The sequence below is a fragment of the Homo sapiens genome, chromosome Y, assembly GCF_000001405.40.
Source record: "Homo sapiens chromosome Y, GRCh38.p14 Primary Assembly".
Lineage (NCBI taxonomy): Eukaryota > Metazoa > Chordata > Mammalia > Primates > Hominidae > Homo > Homo sapiens.
Window position 1 is genome coordinate 7639345 of NC_000024.10, and position 13800 is coordinate 7653144.

Sequence of the window (13800 nt, forward strand, 5' to 3'; positions counted from 1 at the left end):
TTTTGTGAACTGATACTATAGTTTAAACTCAGGTTACCGGTTCTTCCGAAGTTCTTATAATTATAGATTGAAGTGATAATGGTTTGTTTTATTCCAACTCATTGAATGTCCAGTTATATTCCGTTCTACCACTCCCAAAAATGTATTCTAAAAACTGAAACAAACTGATGGTACTCTTTTTGAAAAGTCCATCCCCACATCTCTGCCCATCTCCACACAAAGATTTATTTTGACAAGAATAGTTTTAGTGGTACCTCACTGATGGCAATCAGTGTATTGAGTTGTAATTTTGTAAAGATTTATGAAGTTCCGATTAGCTCCATCACTGCAGTTAGAAAAGCAGTCTCATCCACACTGTTGAAAAAGAAAGTTCTTCCTAGAAAGGGGAGGTGGCTGGCAAAGTCCAGTTGGTGAAGCATTCAGAAGACAAGAAGGTGAATTAGCAAAGTGGAAAGAGATGTTGAATGAAAATGTACACAACTTTTTATGACAAACTGGGTGTAAGTCATAGTTTATGTATAATTCTAAAGACAGAGGATTGATGGCCCTACATCAACCTTAGTGACAGAGTAAAACAAAAGGACACACGTGCCACTGGGGTCTTTCCTAAAATACAAAGTTCCAAAAAAAAAATAAACATAGAAATAATAAACTGAGGGTGAATAAGGGACTGATGGTCAATAAGACTATCTAGAAGTCACCAAAGAAATAAAGCCATAAACAGAAAAAATGAACCATGTTTAAAGAGCTGCAGGAAGATGATCAGGTCATGCCATACAGTGTAAGTTGGGTTTGACTGGTTCAGTTGAAGCCAGAACCTACAAATAATATATGGATAACATTGATCCGCTTCCATTTACACTTCCTGTGTAGCACAAATTTTGGCTTTCTTATTTAATGAAATAATACAGTAACAGAGTTCATGCTGATGACAAGCTATAAGTTATCTTTAGCTTTTTGCAGCCCCTCTTTCCTTCCTTCCTTCCTTCCTTCCTTCCTTCCTTCCTTCCTTCCTTCCTTCCCTTCTTCTTTCCTTATTTTAAATTAGAAGTCCAATTGAACTATGCCTTGAGCTTTTTTTGATGTAACATACAGGCTTTAAAATGTTACTGATTGGACCGTAATGTCAGGTGGCCAATGAAAAGCACTGAATAATTCAATCTGATTTAGTATGTCTTTGATTTGAAACTTAAAACCATGAAGTGGTATCATCTCTAGCACCCTGAGTAGGAGTAGTTCACAGAAATAGGTGATAAGTAATTTGTTTAACCACTCAGTTTTGAAATCTTTGAGAACTTAGTTGAAATAAAGACGGTGTAGTCTACAAATAAAATGAGCTAAGACTTTAAGATCAAGCAGAGGTAAGGCCCTGAAAATTTTGAATTGATAAAGCTGATGTTGTGTTACTAATTTTTTCTGAGAAAAATGACATGGAACAAGATTTGAGACCATCAAAAAACAAACAAAAAAAGGTACTTAATTGAATTTAAGAGAAGTTAGATTACTTTAAATTTATTTAAAGATATTTTAACATCTATGTCTGATTTCACAAAATTAAACGTTTTATAATAAAATAAACTTGTTTTGAGTTTTAAAGTCAGACAAGCATACCCACACATTATTTTTGTTAATTAGGGGAAAAGAACACAAGTTCTACTTATTGACATAGTGGCAAAATAATAAAAAGGAACATACAACTCAAATTTTTCTACACACACACAGGCATTCTAAGTGACATAGAGGGTTAATGCTATGTAGAGTGCATAAAATATTTCAGTCTTGCATCTTGTTCTTCTCTTTAAAAATAAAGAATAAATACAAGCAGAATAAAAACTAACCAAAATGAAATAAACATTTTTTTAACAGAAGTAGAGAATAAGTCTGGATGATGTCATTGGGAAATCCACGAGGGCTAAACTTGAATGAATATACCTAAGATACTAAGAGATATGTCTTAAAGCAGTATTTGCAAAGTAAACACACTGTTTTCAGTTACTTTACATGTGATACATTCGGCTGGGAGTGTAAGGAGGGCCACTGCTTGTCCCTGCACTGATCCTCAGTCACAGGGTATGACGGTGATAATGAAAATTAGATAATAGGTCTGATATAGAACATTCAGATTGATGCAAGGTAATACACATCTGCAGACATCAGGCAGAGTGCAAAGGTTCCACATTTGCAGAAAAACTATTGTTTTTTTGGAAAAAAAAGGGGGGTGTTAAATGCTGGGAGAAGTAAGCTATACCATTACAGATCTGAGACATCTGGAGAGGGAAACTCATTATACACCGCAAGTCTTGACAGCTGGAACTTCACTGATAGCTCATGCAAACACTGTCTTTGGTGACTACAGTTACCAATACTGTACTGTATACTTGAAAAACTTGCTCAGAGACTGGAGCTTTATTGTTCTCCCCCAAAACAAACAAACAAACAAAAAACACCCTAAACGGATACCAAACACAATGAAATTATCTTAAAGGGTATTAGAAATAATGACAAATTTCCTATAAATGAATGGCATTTACACTAGCAAGAAGTTTCTAAAAAGCAATATTAAAATAAAGAAGCAGGGTTTTTTCAAGCCATGATCTAAAATAATATATTTTTTAAAAAAACTATTGTTAAAGTGTGAGGGTGAAATAAAGACACTTTATGTTATACAAAACTTGCAAGGATGTATTACAGACAGTTTGTTTGCTGAAATAATTTCTTAAGGTTAAGTTTTAGGAAAGAGGAAATTTCACACAAAAGGGAAAATTCAAGAAGCAAGGTAAGTAAAGAAATTAATAAAGAAGAACGTATCCCTAAGCTAGCAATAACATTGTAAACAATAACACTAACAATGAGTATTTAAGCATATAGGTAAGGTGCACCTAAAATTCTAAACAATAGGATTAGATTTAATTACAGTTGATAGAGTTTATGGGAACAAACAAAATTATGAGCCATATACAAATAAACATTTAAAAAACACAACAATTTTCAAGGAAAAGTACTAAATTTTATTGAAGGTCATAACAAATGAAAGCCAAAATATACATAAAAAGGCAAAATGGACTAAACACATTTGTTAAACACATATAAAAATAAATCTTTATATCACAGTATACACAAGAGTAAATGGACGATGATTTTAAAAATACATGTAAAAACCAAAGCTGCCACATTACCAGAAGAAAATATTAGAGAATAATTTATAATATCAGAAAAATACTGTTAATAAGGTTTAAAAGGCTTTCATAAAAAAGTAAAATTTTAGCCGGGTGTGGAGGCTCACGCCTGTAATCCCAGGACTTTGGGAGGCCAAGGTGGGCGGATCACGAGGTCAAGAGATTGAGACCATCCTGGGCAACATGGTGAAACCCATCTCTACTGGTTAGTAGGGATTATTTTAATTATGTTCTCTTTCATCCTCCAAACATGTTTCCCCCTACAGCATTCCACTATTCAGAAATCACAGCACTATATACCTTGTATTTCCAGCTAGAAACATAGAGGATGATCCTTGAGGCAGCCTCTTCTCTTCACATCCAACAGTTCATAGGTTGTGTGTCCTCTCTGAAAATTTTACAGTCTTAGTAAATAAAGGCTGGCCCCTAAACAACCTTCAATCATCCACTTTTTTTTTTTTTGCAATTCTCGTCAGTTTCTTACCGAACAGCAGGAGCTCTGCAAAGTCAACGTTGAAGTAAGTACCATTCTCTGCCAGTATTACTATTTTCTTTATCACAATATAAATGTTCCTTAAAAATGCCCACATGAAGCTATACTAAGTAATACAGTTAAATGATGTCTTTGTTTTACAGAAAAGTACAAGGCAAACAGAATCAATTGTTATTATATGATCTTTATAACTGCACACACAGGTACTAGATATTTTAGAATCCAGTTCATACATCTGAAATTTGGGCCTCAAAATATTTAGCATATGTTAAAGACTAATGTCAGATTATAGAACTGCCTGTTTCCACAGTATTGTGCTATCTCGCTTTAAGAACCAGCTGGGGAATCATTAAAAATATAAAATGTCCTTTTCTTGAACCTCTCCCAGGTGAGCCAAAAAACGAAATTTTCTGTGGAGATGTTGTCATGTGCAATTTCATGAAAACTTTTACAATTTTAACCACAGCTATGCTTCAGTGGCATACCTGTTTATTCAATACCTGCACACCTGCTTTAATACAGAAAAATTTGGAAGTTAATACAAGTATTAACTGTTACCATCATTGGTGCTGACAACTGAAGATGCTTTCCAATCTTCCATGAATATGTGAAATTCAAAATGTCAGTACAGTCTCCAGAATGTCAATGTAATCTTAGTAGCAGTGGATCATTTACAGAAGGTAATTTTGCCACAGTGGTCAAATATTTGTTAAATACTGCTATTTTATAGCTATCCATAACATTAACTGACACACAGTGTATAGCTAGAACCATGTTGCTAAAGAAAATGTTCACAAATAGATTTCTCATTTTTGCTAAATTGCAAACTAACAGGTTAATTACCCCTGTGAAGTACGAGATAGATGGAGTAGTATTTACCAAGAATGAGAAAGAAGAGAGGGGCATATGACTTGAGAAGGTGGGAGTGAGTAAAAGATAAGGTATTTATTCCTGACTCCTGACTTGATGTTCTTTGCTTGATTCTTTTCTTTTTGTTGTTGTTGTTGTTGTTGTTATTTTACTTTATCTTATGTGTTAGACCAGAGTTTCACAAACACCCCCAAATAATTACATGGGGCATAACAAATATATCCAGATAATTCTCATTATTTTCCTTCAAAATCCTGGTTCAATAATTTGAAATGAGACCTGGAGAACCAGTAATTCTAACAAGTATGATAAGTGATTGTTACCAAAATGACTATTATGAAATATTTAGACAACCAGGCAGGAGCTAGGTAATCAATATTTAATAGTTGGTTCTTACAGTAAGGGCAAAGGATTTTATTGAAAAGACTATTTAAATGCAAGTTTTATGAAAAAGGTTGAAGTGAGCACTTTAGTACTTTCTAATTAGTGTCTTTAAAATATGTTTTGCTAAAGTGGCAAAATTATTTTTTTCATTAGAAGTTAGCATTATAGTCACAAATGTCTTCTGAGTTAGCTTTTTGAAAATCTTCAGATTATAAATTGTAAAAATTATCTTTGGTGTTTATAAAACTCCAGAAAATCACTAAGAAAAATATACATAAAAATACCAGTATCTAAAAAGATCAAAATAACTCTTACAAACAGACAACAATCTAGCCTAGGAGAAGAAAGCAGGACAGGTAAATAGATCCATTTTGGCAAAGAGGAAAGTCAAATGACCAATGAAAAATGGCTAGATGATTGAACTCATTAGTAATCTGGGAATATAAATCAAAACCACATTACGTTCCAACTTTTGTTCATTAGCTTGGCAACAATTAACATAATAACATAATAACCCTTGTAGTCAAGGGTGTAAAGAATGGTAATTTGGTTCCATCAATCACAGGACTCTCTAATGATATTTAGTAAAATTAGGGTGACTAAAACTTTCATTGTTCCAACAGAAACTTTTTTAGAATAAAGAGTACTAACATACACAAAATTATTTAATATTTAATATATTATTTCCTTTCAGGCAAATTTTTATTGTATTGATGGATCTATGAAATAGTTATCTTCCAGCTATTTTTAAAAATGAAATCCCTTCAAAAATTTAAAACCACAATTACATATCTTGAGGCAAAATAGAAAAATAATTTACATTATTTAAATATTAAAAATAGGGAGAATAATTATATAGAACATATTTATATGAATTAATCTGTTTCTTAATAATTATCTGTAGTTCTTTTCTGGAAAATGCATTTATTTTAATATTATATTGATTTTTAAATAATGTTACTTGCAAGCTTTTCCAAAGTTGCCTCTTCCTGTCACCAATAAAAGTTATCAACAAAGTTTAGCTTTTTAAATGAACTTTAAACAACCATTTATCATATTGTTCAATTTTTTTTCTGGCACAATAATATTTCCACAGCTTTATTTTGGTGCCGATGATTGATTAAAAATTCAAACCATGTTTTAATCAAATTTTCTGTTTGAAACATCTAAATGGCATTATTCAACTCTTTTTGAATTTCCTCTGTAGCTAATGGAGCTAACATACTAACAATTACTGATGAATATTCCTAAGTGCAGAAAAAATAGAATTAAAAATGTACACAGTTGATTTTAAAAAATAGCAATTTGATGCAAATAAAAAGCCAAGCATCTCGGAATTATATGCTTAATTTTTCCAAATTCACATATTAAACCTGTGAAAATGTCATCTTCAGGCATAGTTTTCTTAATGTAACTAAGTATTACCTTTTGAAATAGCAGTTGCTTTTCCCCCTCAGCGCTCTATATTTTGGATTTCAGGATATCACTTTTAGCCTGTGGTCCCAACATGGACTACAAGGCTTTATGACTACACCATGTGTTTACTGGCACTTTTCAACCCATAATTTGATTGAAAGGGAAATCAAGTAGTTATTAATTAAATATCTACTTGCATTTTCAGGTCATTGCTGCTGAAACAGATTTTTTAAAAATAGTCATTAGCAAGCAACCTATAAATAAATAGTTGTAGGTATATGAGAGATGACAAAACCACTGTGGCCAGACGAGTTAACTACTCTCTGTGTGCTAAGCTTCTATTTCCAGCACATAATTTACGTATGTCTAGCCTATTATTTCCTTCATTTTCCCCAAACCCACCATGATGATCTGGCAATGTCGTGTAAGTGAGCCACACGGTAAAAAAAAAGAAAAGAAAAAAAAAAAACTATGTCAAATACTTTTTCCAACACAAGGCAAGACTGGAAGAAGCTAGCCATTCCTAGCCAATACTGACTCAGTGCATATTGATTTATTGTCACTCTGCCGCATGCTGTCCTTGAAAAAGAAGGACAGCATGTTATCTATGTTTGGTGTAAACTGTTAGGAAAATAAAGTTGATTTTCAGACTTATCTCCCAACTCAAGTCATCATTCTGTTAATATTTTATTTTCCTCACATACTGATAGAATACTGACAATAGCTGCAATTATTAAACAAAATGAACATTTAACAAACATGTTTGTTCTAATCAATGTAACTTATAATAATACTTCATTAAAAATGAAAAATCTAAGACATATGCTAAGCCAATTAGCATGGATGAACAATAGTAATAAAGTCATAGTCTTGGGGGCCAATGAGAATATTTTAACCCCTCAGAGTTAAAACTGTACACACACTGCAGTCCAGCCATTCTTCTAATACATTCATTATAAACTCTCACACATGTGTACCCAGAGGCCTGGGCAAGATTTTTCATTGCAGGATTTCAAAAAACACATCATGGAACATGATAGTATTCAGTAGACTAAGAACTATGCCATCAATAATTGCAGCTTTCCACAAGAATGTTAACAAAAAAATGTGAAATAATACACACCTTATAATATTCACATAAATATTAAAAATTCACAAAACACCAGTATTGTTTAGAAATAAATATTTTAATAAATTTATAAAAATATGAAGGTAATACCAGGTTCATGATAATGGTGCCTCTGGAAATGGAAAAAAGCAAATGAATCTGATGGGGTGTATCCCAATTACAACCAGAGGTAATGTAAATAGAACAAGGAATGTATTAATGGAGGTTATTTTTAAGTTAGATTAAAATGGTATTTATTATGTTATTTAGTATTTGTATACATTTTTTAATCTTCCTCAAAAAAATTTTATATGAACAATATTCTGTATAAATTGGAATTACCTTGTGAAGTAATTGCTTTAAAATTTCCCTGTCCCCATTGCCACTTTCAGCGAATAAAAAAAATTAAAAATTGAAGAATGTGTTACCTTTCAAAAAAAAATTTTACATTTATAAGTATGAAACAAAATGCATTACCAGCACATCACATTTTTTGACTCATTATCCATGTAAAATCATGTAGCAAAAAATGAGAGAAGGACATAGGCAGAATTTGACATATGAATAGAGGAAATAATTGCATGTTTATTTAAAATATCTTCATAAGACATAAAAGTGTCCAAGAAACATAAAAAAAGTGCTCAACATCACTGATCATCAGAGAAATGCAAACAAAAATCACAACAAGTTACCATTTCATACCAGTCAGAATGACTATTATTATTATTAAATAACCAAAATAAAAAAATAACGAAGGTAGGCAAGGCTACGTAGGAAAAGAAATACTTATACAGTGGTGGAGAGAATGTTCAGCCACTGTGGAAAGCAGTTTGGGGATTTCTAAAACACTAACAATAGAACTACCATTTCACCCAGCAATCCTATTGCTCGGTATATGCTCAAACGAAAATAAATCATGAAAGCTACCAAAAAGACACAAGAATTCTCATACTCATCACCATGTTAAAGAGATGGAATCAACCTAGGAGCACATCCATGTGCTCCTAAAGAAAATATGGTACATATGAACAGTGGAATAGTACACAGCTGTAAAAAGAACAAAATCATGTCCTTTGCAGCAACATGGATGCATCTGGAGGTAATTAACCTGAGCAAATTAATGCTGAAAAAGAAAATCAAATATTGAATATTCTCATAAATAGGAGCTAAAACGTGGGTGCACACAGAAATAAAGATGAGAACAATAGACACTGGAGACTTCAAAAGAGGGACAGAGGGAGAGGGGCAGGGGCTGAAAACCTTCCTATTAGGTAGTAGGTTCACTCTCTGGGTGATAGGATCAATAGAAGACTAAACATCAGCATCACGCAATAACCTTTGTAACAAGCCTGCACATGTACTCTCTGAATATATAATAAATGTGGAAATACAAAATAAAATAAAAATATTATTAATGGAAATAAATTATTATTAATATTATCATATAAACATTATTAAAGGGAATAAATTACATTTTAGAATTGACATTATTGCAGTCATACATGATTGAAACATGCTGATAAAATCTATATAAGCTTTATGGAAACAGTGAATAGTCTCCTGACTGCCTTTAAAAGTATAAAAGATGGGATAGCAACCTTTATGCACATTAACTAGACTTTAGTTGCACTAATTAAGACAGCAAGAGCTGAGTAAATCAAATGATAATAGACAAGTTGTAATTGATGTCAAAATTCTACCTTATTATATATCAACTTCGAAATCATAGCCCAAGTTTTTTTCTATTTTGAGAAACATCACTCTACTAATATATAGAACAAAGATAGATTTTTGCATGATTTCAATAAAGCACATTTCTTCTTCAAATATGATAAGCACTTTCCAATCCATAAAACACTGTTAGAGAAAACTGACAATCAGGCTAGACACACATTTCAAAGAGCCTATGATGTTACAAATCACTTATGCCTCACTCTTGCGTCACCATGATAATGCAAAGCACTTAGATGGTGTTTCTTAGCTTGAAAGAGCCTAGGAACTTTAACTAATTAATCCTTAGACTAACCAGTGAGAAAGTGATAAGAAGCCCTGTGAAGAGATCATTTAACTATATAATTCACACTTGCTTAAATGTAATTCAGCATATGTGCCATGTTGTGTTTTCCTAGCTTTCTATTTCAGTCTTCAGAGAAATAATATTTATCTGTGAATATATGATGCATAGGCATCTATTATGAATAAAATTATGTCGACTGCACTCTCTCTGCCACTAAAAGGTAACAGATGTACATACAGCCAATACATAAAAAAATCTGGTACATTCTGCTGTATTTTCTTTTCTTATTCATTTCATATATTATTTTCAGGTATTTCAGAGTGGACTTGTTAGATTTGAATAGGCTAAAGCTTTTTGAAAGAGGAATATACAATTCTCTTGTTAATTTTTATAATTTTTTTTGGAAAGTGAATAAAAATTAAACTTTTATGATTATGCTGAATGTAAAAGAATATCATATGTGAATGCTTCACCCAAATGAAAGAATATTTAATATTCAACTTAGAATTCTCTCTAGTAGGATTTCCTTCTCTGCAGGTAGCTGGCTACAGAGATCTACCAAAACAAATGTATTTCTGCGGTAAATACCAGCACTGGCTTACTCCAGAAAGAACTCTTTTAGTCTGTAAAGAACAGTACATCTTTTCCCTGAGCAGAATAAATACTTACCCAGTTTTGCTGTTCCACTAAAAAATCAATTAAAGTAAGTCAGTTCCTTTTTTATTACAAAGAAAATCTGGTTAATTTCTAATTACTTGTACTAAATCTATTCTCTATAACTATCTAAAATTACATAGACATACACACAGGCATAGAAAAGAAAGAGTACAATTGGAAGACCAAATAATGTGTACATGTGATCTGTTAAAAAAAAAACTTTCTACTCTACTATTTTCATTATAGGTTATAGTGTAATTCAATAAATGACCTATTTTAAATTAGTGCCTAAAACATCACTTGAAAAAGTGTGTACAATGCAAGAAACATTTCCCTATGCATACACTTTATTTGTAAATACATTTATACTGTAGAGTTAAAATGGTTAACTTTGTTGTCAAAGACTGATACCGGCTAAAATTTTGTTTCTTAATATATGTATCCCATTTGTTGTTTTGTATCCTATAAACCCTTTATGCTATATCTAAGACTTAAAATGTTTTAAACATTGGATGTTGGTCTTTAGTGGGAGTGGGGGTGGGAGGGCCCCATGCAGTTGCTGTCTGGGAGATCTTATCTAAAGAAAGAAGTTAGTAACAGGCAGCTGCATGGGCAGTGGTCCAGTGCCAGGTTTTCAGCTAACACATGTGTAAGTTTCTCAGGAATTCTCAGAAGTATTTGAGGGAAATGAAACTGGTTTACCAATGCTCTTTTAAAAAACCAGGTAAAGAACATCCTGCAGTGTCCTGAGGAGAAAAATGAGCAAGGCACATGCTTTCAGATGAGAAACATACTAGGTGATTGCAGGATAATAGAAATCTCAAGCAGCAGTTTCACCTGAGGAGCAAAAATACACCCTTAAAGTAGCTGCATAAACTAGAATCTGGTAAGACTCCAAAAAACCAAAGCGTGGGCAAAGCTGGCTAGAAACAACTGGACTCAACATGGTGTTGGATTTAAGCTAGGTTTCACCTTGGAGAAAATAGCAAAAAAAAAAAAAAAAAAAGTCACTGTTATTACCATGCTGCTCTGCTACTACCATGCAACAGAGCAACTGATCAAAGGCAGCAACTGCGTAACTATGGCTGGTTCACATGTGAAAACTAGAAATCCCTGTTTATTTAATTCATGTTTACTTTTTCTATTCATATAGAAGCCAAAAGCATTCCTTACTGACACAGTGTTTCATTTTTCTTCCTTATTCTCCACCGGTTATTTTCTTACCACATTAGTTATAGTTTATAACTTATTTTGTCAAATATATGCAATGAGGTAACACTGCAGTATTGCAGAAAGCACACTGCTTTGGAAACAGACTCGTACTGAAACGGGAAAATGTCCCTCACCTCCCATCACCGAGCGAGCAGTTAGGACAGGTTGTGGGGCTCCGATCCCAAGCAGCATCTAGGGGTGAATGTTTACAGCTCCTGAATCCCCAGCGGGCATGTGTTACACACTGATAATTTAGTTTCTCCATGTGTAGGTGGCTTGTGTTAGCTCAATTAGGTAGGCTGCCTTACTGAAAAGACAGAGGGCTTTCTGGATCCCGGGGCTTCCTGCTTTGGTGTACCTGAAGGATTGTCTCACACGTGGGCTTGGAGAATGAGTGCAAGGTTTAATTGAGTGGTAGTTCTCAGCAGATGGATGGAGAGCCAGAAGGGAGATGAAGTGAGAAGGTGGTTTTCCCTTGGAATGTGGCAGGTCAGCACTCTCCTCCCACAGCCCCAAGGAACTCTGTGTTCTTCTGCGATGGATGTTGTGCCGCCTCAGTCCTTGTGCTCTTCATTCTCTGGTATCTTCTCAAGGTCCAGTTGCTGTGACTTCTTCTGCTGATGGTTCCACTCGATGTCCAGCTGCTGTTGACTCTCCCTGCTAGAGTCTCAGAGTTTCTTATAGCACAGGATGGGGGTATGGCAGGCCAGGGTGGTCTTGGAAAATGCAACACTTGGGCAAAAAAACAGAAGCGCATGTACTCACCATTTGGGCAAGAAAACAGAAGTGCATGTCCTCACCTAGGTCAGTAAGCATAGGCATAAGGGTGGAGCCCTAACCAAGAACCACACCCTCCACTACCAGGCACTTCCCTGTCCCCCATCCATATCAGTATTTTTTAAATTTAAAACTCCAAAAATAGTACCCAAATCCTTTAAAGAAGATAATTGGAGAAAATGGCATTAGAAGAGCCAGTCTGGGATTAGGGTCACTATATGGAAAATGAAAGCACAGAGAGCATGTCCTGCAGGCCACGGAATCACTGCGGAAACATATCCCCTACTGAGAAGGAGAGGGAAACTAACTGGCTTCTCTCATCTTGTTCTCTAATCTCTGCAGTGTTACCCCTTGACTGAGCTGAAACAGGAAGAAATTTTTATGGGAGCCTAGGAACCCTGCTTCCCAGAGACCAGGCATCTCTGTTACAGAACAGTACTAGCAAGAGGTGAGTGATGTATCTGTGCACGTACAAACCCAGTACCTCACACAAAGGAGTATCAGAGACAAGTATATTATCAAGGGATCAAGAGAGAAGTAGTCTCAGGAATGATTCATGCATATTTGTGAAAAGACCAAAAAGTAAAATAGAGCTCATGAGGTAATAAACAACAAGAACGTAAAGAAAAACAGGCAAAATTGTAAAGTCCAGGGTATTTACCTTTCCTTTATAGGATTCTGAAAATCCTTTCCAGAATCCTTTTTCCAATATCTTCCATTCATGGATTCATTCAAGAAATATGTATTGAGCTAGTATGGTATAAGAATTGGGCAAATGGCATCATATACACTGTTAGTACTTCTATTACTGATAGAAAGAATGTTTCTTTTTTTTCTACAATGTTTTTCTCCCAGACATTCTTCTTACAGATTGGTATCCTTACAGATGCAGTCAATCGTTCCTGCCCTAAGAAGGTTCCCCAAACCCCTGTAAACCCGGTTAAGAACTTACTTCCTCTCCAATTAAGTTACTAAATTGTTTCTATTGTAACACTTGTCAGAGTACATTGCAATTTTTGCTCTTCTCTCATCGTCCAATTAAACTATGAATATTTTGAAGGAAAAGTCTATAAACACAATGGCTTGACATTTGTCAATATTTATTGTATAAAAGGTTATTAGATATTTATATATAATAGTCTAACATATTTATCCTAATTTTTGGAAAACAATGTAAACAATGTTAATTGACCATTCCCCATGAATTGCTCAACTTAAACAATGTCTATGCTTTTGAAGCAATTATACAAACTTCCAAAAGACATCTGAAAGAGTTTTTATTTCAATTTTTTTTGTTGTTGTTATATTGAATTATTTTGTAGAGACAAAGTCTTACGCCTTGGCCCAGGCTGAAGTGCAGTGTGTGATCACAGCTCACTACAACCTTGAACTCCTGAGTAAACAGAACAACAGATGTGTGTCATCATGCCCAATTCATTTAATTAATTAATTACATTTGTAGAGATAGGTCTTGTTATGTAGTCTGTGCTGGTCTTGAACTCTGGGCTTGAAGCAATCCTCCCTTCTCAGCCTTCCAAAGGGCTGTGATTCCAGGCATGAACCACCAGAACTCAATGAAAAAAATTTAGATTTTAGAATATTACAATATGGTAGACTTAATTTCTTCTTTCAATTTTGCATTTTTAGTGGCACTTGAGAATAATTATTTCTTAGGGGGAGAGTGTGACTT